This window comes from Homo sapiens, chromosome 10, assembly GCF_000001405.40.
Source record: "Homo sapiens chromosome 10, GRCh38.p14 Primary Assembly".
Taxonomy (NCBI): Eukaryota; Metazoa; Chordata; class Mammalia; order Primates; family Hominidae; genus Homo; species Homo sapiens.
This window is the reverse complement of record NC_000010.11, coordinates 60,298,109-60,316,659: the sequence shown is the minus strand read 5'-3', so window position 1 is coordinate 60,316,659 and position 18,551 is coordinate 60,298,109. Positions and strand designations below refer to the sequence as shown.

At 38.2% G+C, this 18,551-nt stretch overlaps 1 protein-coding gene across 4 annotated transcripts in view, besides 1 other annotated feature; it reads left to right on the top strand.

The window, feature by feature from the left end:
* The window catches only part of ANK3 (ankyrin 3), a 707,231-nt gene that overhangs the window by 416,869 nt on the left and 271,811 nt on the right, over nucleotides 1-18,551 (top strand). The window lies entirely within an intron of this gene.
* Nucleotides 15,875-16,169: an enhancer, noted in NCBI's record as "tiled region #14495; K562 Activating DNase unmatched - State 1:Tss". NCBI's record gives its function as "activates a minimal TATA promoter and a strong SV40 promoter by Sharpr-MPRA in K562 cells {active_cell/tissue: K562}" and the evidence as "EXISTENCE:reporter gene assay evidence [ECO:0000049][PMID:27701403]".

Genomic DNA, 18,551 nt, shown 5'->3' with positions numbered 1-18,551 from the left:
ACAATTATAAAACCACGTTCTCTTCCTTTTTGTAAACAATAACAATGGAAATTACAACTAATATTTGTTGAGTGCCTACTTTATATACATTAATTAACCTCATTGTATATATTACATTTATTATATTAAATTATTCCTTGTAGAAACCTTGTCAAATAAAACTGTTATTATGCTCATTTTTAAGATGAAAAAAGTGAGAAGTAACTCCAGAAGACGAAAAGAAGCTGAGTAACTAGCCCAAGATTAAGAGCTAGGAAGGAGCCAAGCAAACTTTAAACCCAGGTTGTCAGCCCCTAACCTGACTTTTAACATAGGGAACCATGAGACTTCCTGCTTTTTTGTTTGTGTGAGGACATCTAGTTTGCTAAGGTGTCATACATTTACCTAGCATTTCTTGTTCTGTCTCTGCTTACTTGAACAGTTTTTCACAGGGCGAGCACCAGGCTGCCCCAGAGCCTGCCTTTGATGGCAGATTAGGAGAATCCAAGGATTAACAAGCATGTCCTCATAGCTCACCAAGTTGTATGGAGTTCTCAAGTCCTCCCTGTCTCTCTCCACAGAAGCTGTGGCACAGGGGAACCTTGATTTTGGCAGGTTTTTGATGTTGAGGGAGCCCTGAGTCTCTGGAAATGCTGTCTGCTGAGCCAAAAGCATTTTTCGTGATTATTTCCATTGCAATTAGCCCACCTTAGCACATAGAGTAAAAGCTGAGGAGATTTCAAACACTCCTGAAATATAACCATCAGAATACACTGAATTATCACCTTATCGCTCATAATATTTGCTGGCAGAATCTTGCTGGAACACTTAAAATAAATCCTTAACATGCTGGTTGGGAAGAGAATGGTAGCAAATGGGGCCAGCTCACTCGTGGCACAGTAAATCTGCCATGAATTGCTGAGATGAGGAAGAAGTTAGAGAGAGTGGCAGTATATATATATATATTTTGAACTTTCCCAAATCCTGTGGAAAAAAAATTAAACAAGTGAAGCTAAATCTTCAGATTAAATTTTACCAAAACATTCTCTCCACAGTAACAGGTGGACAGGTTAGACAATTTCCTAATTCATTTCCATTTTAATTGTTAGTATTTTAACAAATGACTCATTTCTAACAGCTCTTTTGGCAGAATCAGTGATTCTGGACCGTTTTTACTTTTTAGTTGATAAGTGCTTGAATCATTGCAACCTTAGTGAGCTCTGGCTGGGTTCTATGCCCAACTTCTTCTTGGGTTCTTGGAAGGGTCATTGCATTTACTGGATTTAACCAGTGATCTACTGTGGATTTCATTTGCACACCTCAGTGAAAGTTACATAGACTTTAAAACACGGTAATATAAAAATACTTTCAAGAAGAATTTACATAAAAACCTAATATTCTAGGAAATATAAAAACAATGTCAAGTTGGGAATCCATTCTGTTTATCAGAGGAAGAACTCATAGCTACTACTTATTTATGCACTTACACCCTCTATCTCTGGCCCTACAGTTCTGACTGTTTTAAACTCATCTGGACCCTCTCTTAACCCCTACCATCCTATAAAGTGCTAAGCCACACTAGGAAAGAATAAAAGGGTGGATAATGGGCTGCGTAAACTGGAAAATTCCACTCTAATGGAAAGTACCATGAGAAAGTGAAAGATATCATCATTCGTCTACATTTCTATAATTGTGTGGTATCAGAAGTCTAAGCCAACGTAAGAACTTTACCTTTAGACTTAAAATCATGTGAATTTTAACTTAACTCTGAGATCCAGAACACAAGCGTTTTCCTTTTAGATCTTCCCTTCATAGTTTATGTCCAGTTTTTTTAAATTAGTTGCCAATATATAATAACTGGAGAGTGGCATTTTAAAACATCCAGATTTACAGCCTTTCTTGAACTATTAGAAGATCCACATTCTTGCACCTGTCAACTTGAGCCAGGTGTGTGCTGTCCTCCTCGAATGGAGTTTGTACCTTCACTCATCAGGGTCTACACTTTCTGCATAAAATTTTCCCCATTTGATGAAAGTGAAGCTCATGTTTTCAGTCCCAGTTATGCTTTTACAGTTGTATATTCATGGGATTGTTCCACAGAAATACGCTTATCCTCTTTCCAGATGAGTCATGTACTACTCATATAACACAGATTCCCAGAAGTGTGCCCTCATTTGCATTTCCTGTCTGGCCTAGACCTGGCTCTATTTACATAACATAATTGAAAAATTGCTATTTTAAGGGTTAATTTGGTTAACTCCTGTTGAGATTAATGTCCTGCAAGCTCTCTCCAGTATAACACAGTAGTAAAGAGCCCTTGAGTGATTTGCTTATAAAATGAATAACAATGACTTTTTACAGTATGGTGAAAATTAACTGGGAAAATGAATGCAAAATGCTTAGTGCAGTGCCTGGAATATATTGTCCGTGTTCAGTTAATAGCATTAGCATTATGCGTTTCTGTCTACACTGAAAACAGTAACTGGACATCACTTGATGAAAGCTAAGACTTTTGAAAATTTTTGCTTTTTAACTTGATTCTCTCAAAATATCATCCTAATCAGAATCACCACTGTAGTAAATGTTATTTATTCAATCACTCAAAAAAATATTTACTGAATACCACAGTAACCAATAGGTAACTTTTTGTCTTAGAAGAGTGCACACTCTAGCAGGGAGATGGAGAATAAACTACTAGAGCTACATATAAGTTCAGATAGAGATAAGAGCCAGTAAGCAAAAAAAAAAAAAACAAAAACAAAACAGAGGCAGGGACAAGGGTAATGGGTGATGCAGGCTGGAGGTGCTATTTTTTTTAGCTGAGATATTCAGGATAAATCTCTCTGACAAGGTTACAGATGAGATATTGTCATCAATTAGAGGTGATTTATAAACTTTGTTCAATGTCAACTGTTGGACTATTTATTCTTGTGTTTCATTTGGGACTTTTTGTTTTTGCTAAACATTTCTGTAAATATTGAGGATGTTAGGGTAGCTGAGTTTAATGAACTTGGTTTGAAACTGGAGAAAAGAATATTTTATGAAAGCGCTGATAGTTGCAGGAGAGCCAAGTTCAGGAAAAGACCAACTGAAGATTCAAGAAAATAGAGTGATTGATGACTGAAGTTAAGGAGGAAATGAGTGGCCCTGGAGGACAGGCAAAGAGATAAGCTGTGGACAGCAGAAGATCTATATGTTCCAGCTCATCCTTTCCTGCAGGAAAGACAAACTAATGATATCATGAAGTCAGCACTTTTTCCTTACTCTCTGCACATACTTGAGTCAAGTGAGGCTCTTTTTTTTGCAATCTCAATTATATTTTACAATATTACATTCACATGGTTCTCATAAATATGCTTATTCCTTTTCCCCGTGACTCATATATTACTCAGAAGTTACTGGCTTCCTTTAACTTTGATTGAATCTCCAAACTCTCTTGAGGATATCTCTTCGACAGTGGTGTTGACCCTAACAAAGTTGCAGCTCATGTTATCCGCAGGGTCCTGGGAGTAAGCGCCATTTCCAGACTAGACGTGCTCAATTCTGTTCTGGTCAGTTCTGCAGACATATCTCAGGTATTGTGCTCTGTGAAAAAGGAGCAAAGGTGAAGAGGACACCTGTCCCTAAAGATTAATCATAGCTACCGGGACTGGCCTTCCCAGCAAGAGCACCACCCTATTTTGCACACTGGGGAGGCCTCAGATGTCTTCAGTTTGGCCTCTTGATGGCTCTCAATCATGGAACTGCAAAGTCCACTGTTTACCAAGACAAGGCTAGGGAGAACTAGAGCAAACTGCAGAGAAAATGCCCAGCTCTAGGCCATAGCTGTGGCTCTGATGCAGCCAGTTGTTGCTGCATGGAAAGGAAGGCTTAGCTTTGCTTAAAACATCTGATTTTTGAAAGAAGGGGCAAAAATCTGAACTCATAAAATCTCTTTATTTGTGAATATTGGAAATTAATTAGCTTTTTTTAACCCTAATAAAGATTGTAATTAAGGGAGATGCGAAACCTGTTAACAAGCTGTGTGACTTTGAACAAGCTGTTTTTCCTGTATGGGTTCATTATCAGGAAAATTGGGTCCCACTGACTATGAGGTCCCATCTAGGCCTAAGATTCAATGTTTGATAGTTGGAAGGCAAGACAGAATTGCTATGACTTGACAATGTCCATAGGTAAGAGGACTGTGTCCACCTTGCCAAACCCCTTTAAGGTAGGAACAGACCATGTGTCATGTCTACCTCTCTGGATCATCAGTAAACACATCAATAAGGAGCAGACATTTCTAGCATTCAACAGACATTTATCAAGAGCTTTCACTGTGCCAAGCCCTGTGCCAGTCACCATCCATCAGGCCTCTTTATGTGGATAAGGAGATTTATTATTTCTAGCTGTGACATTCAGGCACCCAGCCCAGCACTGGGCTCAGAACTGGGGCTCAGTAATTGTTGGTTTTCTTCTCCTCCTTCCCTGAAGCTGCTCCCATGGAGAATTCTTCCAGAACTCATTTTGCTTGACTTCTTCCCTTGGCCTAGGATATGTTTATCTTTCTTTAGCAATTTTAACTACTCTCAAAAACCAGCTCAAGTCTATCCTGTTTTATTCCTGCCCGCAAACTCTGAATTCTGCTTGCTCACATTCATTTAAATATTAATTGAGCATCTACTATGTTCCTGGTACTGTTCACAAGATGGACAAAAGTCCTGCTTTTAAGAACTAAAATTCTACAGGGCTGGAGGCAAGTAGGAAACAAACTATGAACCAGTAATAAGTGAGAAATTGATTAAATGGTATTACCTGGAAAATAAGGGTGATATGGTAGTGATTTCAGACCTACTTTAGATTGAGTGGCCAGGAAAAGCCCCTCTCAGGAGGCAATACATATTCTGTGACCTATTGATAAGAAGAAAGCAGCCTTGAAAGATCTGGAGGAAGACAGCATTCCAGGTGGAGGGAACTGCAAATTCAAATTCTCTGAGGGAGGAATACAATTGCCTTTAGGAGGAATATATAAGAAGTCAGTGTGTCTGGAGCATAAATTAGAGGCAGAGGGGAGACGTACTAGGTGAGACCAGACCAGAGAATTTGGTCAGGTATAAAAAGAAAACAGGGAAGTATTCTTCCCCCATTCTCCCAATTGGAGTAAAATTTTCTAGAAGGAACTAGGACTATTCTCCCTCTCTCTCTCTTTTTTTTTTTTTTTTTTTTTGGCTTCCATATACCCAATTACTTAGTTACTATTTAGTTAATTGACTGAATGTGAGGAACTCACTAATCATTTAGTATTTAGTGTAGCAAAGTAGGGTTACATTTCAGTGGTTTGACTTGGGAATATTCAGAAGGTTTGGGCTACACATAACAGCCTAGGAGGTTTGAACAGCCCTTTCTTGATGGCTAGTTCGGCAGTACCCATCTGAGGACAAAGTTTCATTCCTTGCTTCTTCATTCATCTGTGTGCTGTTTCATTGCATGTTATTTTGACCCAGTAGCCAACAGCCCTCTAATATGGTTTAGGGGATAAAGAAGCAGGCAGAGGGACACTTCCACAAGTCTTTGTAATTGAACAACCACCACCAGAAGATGGTTTTTCTCCACTAAGTCTGGCATTTTAATGAGAGAAGTTCTTTTTGTTTCCTATCTCTGATAACTGACTACTCCTCCCCAATCCCCCTTCATCCTTTGCCTGAGGGAGATTAAAGGTGGCTGGAATGCAGGCTGGAGTCATTAAGTGTTCTCTCCCTTAAAACGAAACACATGACATGCACCAGTCCTTTCTGCAGAGTAGTGGACCGTGATGTGACTTGCTCCACTTGACCTTTTGATTTATAGAGTTGAAGAAAAGGACATTGCAGAGAGGAGTGATGAATGAAGATATTTAGTTCTACCTCCTTTTTGAATTTCTGGGAAAAAAATTATTTCAGTAGAAAGGAGGAGGTAACTTCAATAATTATATTATTTCTACACATTTTAGACATTGGGAGTTACTTGTGTTAGAATTGATTACAGATCTGTCTGGCATAGGCATTACGGCTCCTAAGTCTAGATTTTCTTCTTAATGCACCGTCACATTGATTTATTAATTTGTTCTCTTCCTATCTCCTGAACTTTTGTTAATACATGCATTTTTAGTTCCTTGCATTAAACTATTATTCACTCTTTTTTCTCATGTATTCAAATCATGCATAATTTTGTCCAAAGAACAATTTTCTGGAATAATAGTGCTTTTCATTCATATAATAAATGCGTGTGAGTATTTGTTTATTACAAAAGCAGTGCTTGGAAATAGGATCTAAGTTTGTTCCTTTTATTTGTGGATGAAGATCTGTCATCCATAAATAAAACTTGGAATAAAAGCACTGCAATTAGAATCAAATAATTATTGAAGATTCCTGGAAACCTGCGGGTGAGTGTGCACATGTGTATCTGTTTTGCTCATGAAATGACTTTTTAAAAAACTGCAGTATGGCACAGTGGCTCAAACCTATATTCCCACCACTCTGGGAGGCCGAGGCAGGAGGATCTCTTGAGATCAGGAGTTTGAGACCAACCTGGGCAACATAGCTAGACCCCATCTCTACAAAAAATAAAAAATTAGCTGGGTATAGTGGCACATAACTGTACTCCTAGCCATTTGGGAAGCTGAAGCAGGAAGATTACTTGAGTCCAAGAGTTTGAGGTTACAGTGAGCTATGATCACACAACTGCACTCTAGCCTGGGCAACAGAGTGAGATCCTGTCTCAAAACAAAAAAAAAAAAAAAAGAAAAAAGAAAAGAAAAGAAATTGATTTCACTGATATATGCCTGATAAAATGCCAGTTATAAAACTGCTAAATGCTTGATTCTGGGATGATTGATTTTGCATATGTAACTCTTATTCCTTTGTTTCTTACCTTTGTTTTTGTTTGTTTTTTCTGATGCTTTAAATAGATAATTTTTAAAGGGATTGGTATATTTCTACAGCTGTTTTTTCTTTAATCACAAGTATTTTAAACAGAGTATATTAATTTTCAAACTGCAGACAAAACTACCTATTGCAAGTTATTCCAACCTCCTTATTCATCTCCAGAGATGTGTGTTGGTGTCATAGTTTCAGAACACCCCCCTGGAGTAATGTGTCAATGTCAAATGCACAACTGTAAGCTCATCAACTTTAAAGGTCTTGTTCTTCTGCTAATCAAACCCCACAGAGTTCATTACATTTTCAAAATCCTCCAAGCCCTTATTATGCATGACAGCAGAAATGAACATAGTCAAGTTCATCTAGCTAAGAATATTATCATTCAGTGGAGCCCCTCAGAGAAGGAGAAAAAAGTAATCATTTCATAATCAATTGTGAGTTTTGCATGCTTCACATTTATATATTCAAGAACATATGAAATAATGAAGAAATATCTCATCATTGTGTTTCTTCAGGCTACACTGAGCACAGTTTGATCGTCAAGAAATAAAGTGGCTTTCCTAATGTGATTTGGGCTTATAAAAATCAGCATGCTTTCATCATTAAGGGACAGCACCTTTTATGTCTTAGCTGTAAAGTGTGCAGGTGTCAAGAACACACGTATGAAGTCCTGAAGGCATTATTATTGCACATGATTTATTCTTTTGTATCTTTTCTTATTTCTATTGGCCTCATTTGCATCTAGGGCCATTTGCAAAAGTTAAGGAAGGGGAGCAGGATAGGATGTGTGAATTCAACTATTCGAATTCTCCTGGATTACAAGATTTTGAGGGAAATGTGAGTAGGAAGCTATGAACTCAGTGGGAAAAACAGCACCCGAAGCAAAAGTTCCCCCAGGCATCCAATGCCAGGGGAGTTATGACTGCTTTCTATTAGGGATAAACCAGGCCTCCTGGGGGCTCAGTAAAGTGGTCATTCCCACCTTAGAATCAGTCATATTAGTAAAAGCAACCTCCAAGGTAACTGTCATGTGCCCCTGCCTAGACAGTGTATCGCTGGGTTTTGGATGGTAGGGGCTGAGGACCTGAGGGATGGGAGAGAAAATGCAGTTGGAAACAGCTTCCCTAACCACTTTCCCTCCTCCCCTCCCTCAGCCTGTTGAGTCCTTGACCTCATGGTCCCAACAACAGACATCCAACACCAGATTCCGGCCAGGCACAGTGGTTCACGTCTGTAATCCCAGCAATTTGGGAGGCCGAGGCAGGCAGATCACCTGACATCAGGAGTTCGAGACCAGCCTTGCCAACCTGGTGAAACCCCATCTCTACTAAAATTATAAAAATTAGCCAGGCGTGCTGGTGCACGCCTGTAGTCCCAGCTACTCGGGAGGCTGAAAGGCGGAGGTTGCAGTGAGCCGAGATCATGCCACGGCACTCCAGCCTGGGCAACAGAACGAGACTCCATCTCAAAAAAAAAAAAAAAAAAAAAAGCCAGATTCCCTCCAAAGTCAAGGGTCTCCTGTCAAAACTGGGTCTCTAAACTTTTCTTTTATCCTTTGTCTTATCTGTTATCTTGGCTGATAAAGGAAAGTAGAATATGTTCTAATGAAGATCACAGGAAATATTGAATACAGTCAATCTAGATTAATTGGCTGCTTAAAAGCTTCCTTGTAGATTAGATCATTTGCCCTCTTACAGGCTCAATGAGCTGCTTTTTCCATGTGTTCCTTTGAATAATGTCTGTGTCATGGCCTTAGTTTGAAAGAAGGGAGAAAACAAGAAAAAGGGCACATTTTGTTACTACAAGTTTTCAGGAGTCACATCAGTGATATAAATGCTGTTGTCACATTTTCTTTTTTAAAAAGCATTTCATAGTTTTACTGAATATTGAACAGAGCAAATTATATAGAATCCAGGTCCTGGGGCTCAGCGTTTCATGTGTGACACACAAAGAGTGGCTAGAGAGGATATTAATGCTTTAAATTATTACATGAAAAGATAGTAGGGTTTTTTTGGTCATATAAAGCTAATGGGTAAGTGGACTCTTCTGGGGCATGTGTGGTTTCTACCATTTTTTCAATCTCAGGATCACACAACATTCTAGGTTCATGGGAGTCCACAGCCTTTCATTTAAAAGTACATCATAGGCCAAGCATAGAAGCTTGTGTCTATAATCCCAGCACTTTGGGAGGCCAAGGCAGGAGGATTGCTTGAGCTCAAGAGTTTGAGACCAGCCTGGGCAACTTAGCAAGACCTCATCTCTACTAAAAATTAAAAAAAAAAAAAATAGCCAGGCATAGTGGCACACACCTGTATTCCCAGCTACTTAGGAGGCTGAGGTGGGAGAGTTGCTTGAGCCCTGGAGGATGAGGCTGTGGTGAGCTATGATCATGCCATTGCGCTCTGGCCTGGGTGACAGACTGGGACTCTGTCTCTATAAAAAAATAACAAAAAGTTTACAACTATATCATGAGGCCACGACTGCCAAACTCCTGGTTCTAGATCAGTGGTCAGAAAACTTTCTCTGAAAAGGTGAGTAATATTTTAGGTTTTGTTGGCCAAACAGTCTCTGACAACTGCTAATTCTGTCATTGTAGTATGACAGCAGTCATAGACAATTTGTAAACAAATGACCATTGCTGTGTTTCAATAGAACTTTATTTGTGAACACTGAAATTTGAATGGCATATGATTTTCACATGTTAGAATATTTTTCGTCTTTTGATTTTTTTCAACCATTTAAAAATGTAAAAGCTGGGCAGAGCATAGTGGCTCATGCCTAAATCCCAGCTCTCTGGGAGCCTGAGGCGGGTAGATCGCTTGAGGCCAGAAGTTTGAGACCAGTCTAGGCAACATAGACCCTGTCTATACAAAAAATTTCAAAAATTAGATGGATGTGGTAGCTCACACCTACTACTCGGGAGGCCAGGGCAGGAGGACCATTCATAAATACCCTAAGTCTTTATGCTTGTTCACGGAATACAGTTATGAATTCTAGACACAGCAATATCAACTCACAATATGCCATCATGCAATCACTCTGGGCTTTTGTTTCTTCATCTCAAAAATGATGAGGTTCAACACTTTTACACTGCTGGTGGGAATGTAAATTAATACAACCACTATGGAAAACAGTATGGAGATTCCTTAAAGAACTAAAAGTAGAACTATCATTCAATCCAACGATCCCACTACTGGGTATCTACCCAAAGGAAAAGAAGGCATTATATGAAAAAGACATGCACACACGTGTTTATATCAGCACGATTCACAATTGCAAAGATATGGAACCAACCTAAATGTCCATCGGCCAACAAGTGGATAAAGATAGATATATATATATATATATATATATATGCACATACACCGTGGAATACTACTCAGCCATAAAAAGAAGTGAAATGATGTCTTTTGCAGCAACTTGGATGAAGGTAGAGGCCATTATTGTAAGTGAAGTAACTCAAGAATGGAAAACCAAGTATCAAATGTTCTCACTTATAAGTGAGAGCTAAGCTATGATGGACACAAAGGCATAAGGGTGATATAATGGGCTTTGGGGACTCAACGGGGAAGGTTGAGAGGGAGTGAGAGAGGAAAGACTACAAATTGGGTACACTGCATACTGCTTGGCTGACGGGTGCACCAAAATCTCAGAAACCACCTCTAAATAGCTTATCAATGTAACCAAAAACCACCTTTACTCCAAAAACCATTGAAATAATTAAAAAGGAAGGGGTTCAGTTAAATGGGCTCTGAGGTTATGTGATTTCTTCAGTTTATTTTCTGTGAAAAAAAAATGTATTTTTACATATTGACTTTCCTTGAGGCAGGGCGTATTATTGTCATCAAATGAGATGGAAAATGTTAACGCCATATCCGACTGTGAAAGCGGCACTTTCAGTCCATCCACCAGAGTCCCAGCTCAGGCTCCACCAGCCTCCCCATCTGCCTGGGCTCACCCTTTGGGGATTCAGCTTCTGCCTCCGTCTCCTTTTGCTGCTGCAGTATCTTTGAGATGAGTGACAGTAGTTTGAGAAACAAAATGTCCTGGCCAGGGGGTGGGTTGAAAGACACAATTATGGGAATTATTAGTCTTCTTATTTCGTATAATTGTAGAGTGTTTTTCTCTCAAGAGCACCACAGAAAGTTTGAATGAGTAGGGATTATTTATCCTGGAGTGGGGAAGACTGTGGGGAGGGAAATGACTCAGTAACAGCATGGAGTGTTTAAAAAGACGATAACCAACTGCTGTCTCTTCTCACTAAAGACAGAGATTAAAAAATTGAGAGCAGAGGGCTAAATTAAATGTGCAGAGTAATATCTTGCCAGTAAGCATGATTAAACTCCCAAGTGAGTTCCTAGGGGAGGTCTCGGTGGATAGGAGGACACGAATGTCCTGCCTAGAGCCAGACATCTTATTTTCTGGTTTTTGTTGCTGGAACTAAGGTCTGCCTACAAGATCTGAGGGACAGACCCCCAGGCCTGGACTCCTGGCCCTCAGCATTTTGATAAAGCAAAGGTGCTCCACACAGACATAAAGAACAGACCAAAAAACGCAGCAATTTTCATCAGAACAAAATCTGCAGCTTCAGGGAAGTTAGCTGAGCTTGGGGTGTGTCCTGGAAGTTTATGGAAGAGTTTGATCTGAATTGGGTGAAGCCGGGCATGGGGATAGTGAAGACTTTTTAAGCCAGCCTCACCTTCTCCAGAGCATCAACTCATGGCAATTCTTCCCTTTCTGACTATCTCCCCCACCCACTGTGCCTGCCACAGGCAGATCAGATTTGCTATTTTCCAGAGAGGACTGGCTCCACCTCACTGTATGTCAATTGAGAAACAGGCACAGAGCAAGCAGGGTGATGGTTTTCCAGGCCTCCCTGCTAAAGCATAGTTTCCAGCACATACTAAGTGCCTACCCTGTGCATGGTGATTGTATACATAAATGAATGAAGCAGGGGTGGGAAAGAGGAGAGGGGCAGTGAATAATGAACAACCTGTAACTGGAACTCTAGATTTTGATGTGCAGTCTCTCAATTTTCAAACAGTGGCAAATAATTTCAATATTTTTTCCATCTTTATAAAGGTAAAAATTAACAAAAATTGTATATATTTAAAGTATATAACTCAATTTTTTCTTTTTTTCGAGACAGAGCCTCACTCTGTCACCCAGGCTAGAGTGTGATGGCATAATCTTGGCTCACTGCAACCTCCGCCTCTGGGGTTCAAGTGATGCTTCTGCCTCAGCCTCCTGAGTAGCTGGGATTACAAGTGCGCGCCACCACACCCAGCTAATTTTTGTATTTTTAGTAGAGACAGGGTTTCGCTATGTTGGCAAGGCTGGTCTTGAACTCCTGGCCTCAGGTGATACACCCACCTCAGCCTCCCAAAGTGCTGGGATTACAAGCATGAGCCACCACCCCCAGCCAATGTTTTGATAACATATACATTGTAAAATAATCACAGTCAAGCTAATTAATATCTGTCACCTTTTATAGTTATTTTTTTGCTGTGTGTGTGTGTGTGTGTGTGTTATGAACAATTAAGATCTACCCTTTCAGCAAATTTCAAGTATAATAAAGCATGGTTAACTATATTCACATTACTGTGTATTAAGTCTCCAGAACTCATTCATTTTTCATAACTGAAACTTTGTACCCCTTGACCAACATCTTCTCATTTTCTCTTCTACTCCTAGCCCTTCTACTCTCTGTTTCTATAGACTTGACTTTTTTCAATTCCTCATGTAAATGGGATCATGCAATGTTTTTCTTTCTGTGTCCGGCTAATTTCACTTAGCATAATGTCCTCCATGTTCATCCATGTGGTCACAAATGGCAGGATTTATCTCTCTTTATGATCAAATAGTGTTTAATTATACACACACACACACACACACACACACACACACATATATACACCACATTTTATTCATTAGTCAACAGACAATTTAGTTCTTTTCTGTGTCTTGGCTATTATGAATAATGCTGCACCAAACACAGGAGTGCAAATATCTCTTTGAGGTATTGATTTTATTTCTTTGGCAATATACCCAGTAGTGGGGTGCTGAATCATAAGGTAGTTCTGTTTTTAATTTTTCATTGAACTCCCATACTGTTTTCCTTAATGGCTGTACCAATTTACATTCCAATCAACAGTGTACCAGGGTTCTCTTTTCTCTGCATCCTCACCAACACTTATTATCTGTTGTTTTTTTAATAATAGCTATTCTAAGTGGTGTGAGGTCATAGCTCATTGTGGTTTTGATTTGCATTTCCCTGATAATTAGTGATGTCAACCACCATTTCCTATATCTGCTGGTCATTTGTAAGGCCAGACTTACACACCAGCCTTCCTGAAGTCAACTTTTGAAAAATGTCTATTCAGGTTCTTTGCCCATTTTTTAAATTGGGTTGTTTGATTTCTTACTATTGAGTTGTATGAATTCATTATATTTTTTGGATATTAACCTCTTATTACATGTATCGTTCACAAATATTTTTTCTGAATCCTAAGTTGCTGGTTCATTTCGTTGATTGTTTTCTTTACTATGAAGAAGCTTTTTAGTTTGATGTAGTCTCATTTAATAATTTTCGCTTTTGTGGCCTGAGCTTTTGACATCATATGCAAAAAATCATTGCCCAGATCAATGTTATGAGAACTTTTGCCTTGTGTTTTCTTCTATAGTTTCATGGTTTGGGGTCTTACATTTAAGCCTGTAATCCATTTTGAGTTAACTTTTGTATACAGTGTTAGATAAAATCTGATTTCATTTTTCTGCATGTGGATATCCTGGTTTCCCAGCACCATTTACTGAGGAGACTATTCTTTGCCCATTGTGCATTCTTGGCACCCTTGCCGAAGTTCGATTGACTAGACACACAGATTTTTTTCCGGGCCTTCTATTCTGTCCCATTGTTCTAAATTGTCTGGGTTTTTTTTTTTGTTGTTTGTTTTTGTTTTTTTGGCCAATACCAGATTGTTTTGATTACATAGCTTTGTAATATATTTTTAAGCCAGGTAGTCTGATAGCTCTAGCTTTGTTGTTTTTGCTCAAAATTGTTTTGCTAATTCAAATTTATTTTAAAATACTATGGTAGTCAAGAAGACATACGTTTACTATTTGCTGCCAGCGTGTGGCCTTATCTTTAGAATCATGTAGAATTAGATATAAATACTGCCTATTTACTGGTTGCTGACCTTGGCAAGTTCTTGATCTCTCTGAACTCTAGCTTCTTTCTCACAAACAGAGAAATTGCTTCACAACATAGCTGTGAGAACTAAAATAATGTATGTAAAGAAATTAATATAGTGCCTTGCATGTTTGATAAATGTTATTATAATATCTGATATTATAATAATGAATAGCTGATATAATATATCATGTTGATCCACATAAAATTGCTGGTATACGCTTGGTTTTAAACTATAAAAATGGCAATTTCATATGGTTCAACATAATATTTTGTATAAAATCCTCCCCATCTACATTATTGTGACATTATTGCCACTATTAAAGCCTATATACCCATTTCCTAAACACACACTTATGATTCCCCCTTCCATGCTCTATTTATTCCCATAGTATTTATCACTTTGAACATATTCAACAAGTTATTTATTATGTTTATGGTTTGTCATCTGTCTTCCCACATTTGCTGGTGTATATAAGTTTCATAAAAAATAGGGATTTTCTCAGTTTTATTCATTGTTTTTCCTCCCCCACTGTACCCCAGTACCTAGAATAATGTCTGGCACTTAGTAGTCTCTGTGTAAATTATGTGTTGAGTGAATAGACTTACACACTGATCTTTCTGAAGCTTAATTGAGCCTACCATGGTCATGTTCCTTCAAGCCTTAAAGGTTTAAGAGAACTATTGATTAGAACTGTACTAAATAAAATATAAATGAAGGTTGTTATAATGATGGGTTCTTTAGGGCTCTGATTCTTGTGTAAGAACAGTAGAAAGTTATCTGAAGTGTGAGAACAGTAAAAAGTTGCCTAAAGTGTTGCATATCTGAAAAGCTGAATTGTATTAGTTGAAAAAAGCTAAGTAAAAAATATTTATCTGGGCCGGGTACAGTGGCTCATGCCTGTAATCCCAGCACTTTGGGAGACTGAGGTGGGCAGATCATTTGAGCTCAGAAGTTTGAGACCAGCCTGGCCAACCAACATGGTGAAACCCCGTCCTTACTAAAAATACAAAAATTAGCCAGACATGGTGGTGGGCCCTGTAGTCCCAGCTTCTCAGGAGGCTAAGGCAAGAGAATTGCCTGAACCAGGGAAGCACAGATTGCAGTGAGCCGAGATCCTGCCACTGCACTCCAGCCTGGGTGACAGAGTGAGACTCTGTCTCAAAAAAAAAAAAAAAAAATGTATATTGTGTGTGTGTGTGTATGTATGTATGTGTGTGTGTGTGTATCTGTGCGTGCATGTGTGTGTATATATATGTATATATACACACGTGTGTGTATGTGTGTATATATGTATGTGTGTGTATATGTGTGCGTGTGTATATGTGTGCGTGCATGTGTGTGTGTATATGTATATATACTTTATATATACATACATACATATATAGTATATATATACACACACATAGATTATATATAGTGTGTATATATATATACACACACAGATACATATATATATATATATATATATCGGAAGTATTCAATGAGTTGTTTGGTTTTTTTCTCCCACCCGGTTATACACATGAGTTTGGCATAGTGCTGTATTTTTAAAAAGATGATCATCAGTTGCATTTGCCCTTTGACAAAAGGAAATTGGTTTAGTAAAGTAACTCTCCTCGGCAGTAAAGTATGCCCTCAGAGTGTGCATGTGTGTCTGTGTGAGTGTGTATATAACTGTAGGTATACATGTCTACGCAGACATATATTCATTAGAAAAGCTAATACAGAGAAGGAAATTAAAAGTTTAAAAAGCCCAATAATAAAAGTCAAGCCTGACTGGATTCCAGAAAGACAGAGGAGAAAATGGTGGTATTGTCTTTAGAAGGAATGTCAGAGTAGCGTGAGTACAGAGGAAAGTGCTGATAAGCAGAATGACAAAAGCTGGTCTCATGAGTAATTCCAAGCAGCCAGAAAGCCAGGGTACAATCCCCAGCTGATTGCCCTGCTATTCTCGGTATTCCACATATCATGACTAAATCCACAGAGCCAATATGGTAAGTCGTGGGGAATTCTGGGAGGTACTATGCTGTTTATAAGGGCCCAGGCGGATTCTGTACTCTTGTCTGCCCCGCCCACCCTCCATTTAAATACTCTAGTTAGTTGCTTCTGACCAGCTCCTACCTCCTTCCTAGGAAGTGGGGGAAACCTTTACATTTCCGAAGGCAGATATTTTTAGATGTGATGCTCTGTCCAAAGTGTTAACTAATTGAGTTATCAGGTTTCTTACTTGGCCACAGAGAATGGCAGTGGAAGAGGGAGAGAGCTTCCCAGAACAAGTAAGCATTTACAGCTCCTAAATGAAATGTACTTTCCTTATAGAAGTTCTGTTTTGCCCTGAATAGTTGTGCCTTTTAAAAAATGTTTGTTGCTGGGTAGGAAGCAAATTAACCTGTTTGCACTACGGATCACTTGAGTTAAATATGTGTAGGACAATGGACTGTCCTTTCTGTTTTGTTCCGATCCGGACTCTAGATATGTTTTGCCTGTGATGTAATTTGGAGTGAGTTCAGCTAAGGCCTGCCTTAAGAGGATGCATAACAAAATACAAAAAGACAGGGGGCGATTAGGAGTGCAGGAAAAGCCTGGTAAATCCAAGAGCGTAAAAAGGTTTATATGGTTGCACTTTTTTCAAGAGAAATCCAACAGCTTTAAAATTCAGCTTTTTCTGATGTATTAATTACAAGGGGCAATATGAAATTTTACAGTTGGGGAGAAAACATAGAATTAAAATTTATTTTTGAAACTCATATAAATGGTAGATGAAGGATGTAATTAGAAGTTGGAAAATGTAATTTTATTTCCATCTTAATAGAATTGCACATAGATATAAATAAGTCATCTTGTTTAATAATTTTAAAGAATTGGCATAGTAAGCCATCTCCCCCTTAAGGGATACTGTGTAGATAAAGGGAGTAAATATTTGCTTTATGTTTGTGAAATTTTGAAGTATTTGATTCTGAGGGATTCACCTAATGCTATGTAGATCATGGTATGGTTGAAAATGGTCATGTGATCTCTTGTTTCTACCTATATCCTTTCATCTAACTGTGTGATGTTACACAGTTAACATCAGTGTATCTAACTCTGAGAACACCTTAGATTCCTGAATATTGTGTTTAAACATTTAGTGAAATAGTCATAATGACTAGAACGAGACATCATAAAAATGAGGACATTGTTGCTTGTTCTAATATCAGGTGGACAAACATGCTAATGGTTTTGAGAAAACAGCTGTCATTTCACAGTGTTACAAAAAGCAATTTGGAAAACTTACAATTTTTATCTTTATTTTAAATGGATTCAGTTTTCATCTTTGTACTCTTAAAGACAGAATATTTTTTGCGAAAATATTAACCTTTCGTGACCTTTATGGAATGTGGCAATATTGCATATGTACAATTATGAAATTTTAATCAAGTGAGATTTTATAAACATTCTGTGTGTCTCAGAGAAAGAGTTTTTAAGGGTAATCTTTGAGATTCGTAATAAAGCTATAAGATTGTGCATGAATGCCAGACATTAATGTCAACTGTAATTTACTAGTAATATAAGCATATTGGCAAGTGAGTCCTAAAAATCGTATCACTCTAAAAATAATCAACTTACCCATCCAAAACTTTCAAACTGTACTGTTAAATTTTGATGTGTATTCTGTTCCATTAGTTGTGGATTTGAAAACTTTGCATATGCATGATCATAAATTACATAGTTAGACAGCTTTGAGAAATACTCATTGCTGGGAAGGGTTTGAGCAATAAGGCTTGCTGTAACGAGTCTTAAAGAATGTACCTGAAGAGTTCTGGCCTTTTATTAATTAATAACTTAAAAAATCTGAGATCCAAAAGGAAAGCCTAAATAAAAGTAGACCATCTTGTTTCTGCCTCCTGTCAGAATATATCAACTAAATGGTGAAAGCATTTGATCTCAGCCCATATGTGCAGTGTTTTCTGTTTTGGTGGGCATGCTGTTTGAAAAAACGTGTAATAAAATGACAGACTGAATTTGAAATTATCATGCCGTAAGCAGTAACTCTGGAAGGGTACTGACCCGATACGAATCATATAGAAGTTCCATCACAACAGAGTAGCATATACTATTGCTGTACTGGGTTTTGCTGGAAAATGTAGAATTATTCCTCTCCTGCCTTCATCTCTGACTTGAATGGAAGACTGAACACTTTATCTGCATGAGCTGAACTATGGACAAAATCCTTGCAAAGAGGGTATAGTAGATAATTGCATTTTCATGAATGATCATTAATACTTCCTGCTGCTTCTGTTCGGCTTGTGGTTTTTACAGTATTGTTTAGAGATTTTCTGTATGGAAGAACTAGAACTAGTTTTGACATAAATGATTGATGAAAAGTTAACTTTAAAGTTTAACTCTTCAATAATGCTCATGAAAAAAACCTAGACTCTAATATTGAACAAAGCCCAAATGTAATCCAATTTTAGTGTGCATTTTAGAGGTAGCTAATAATAAGATC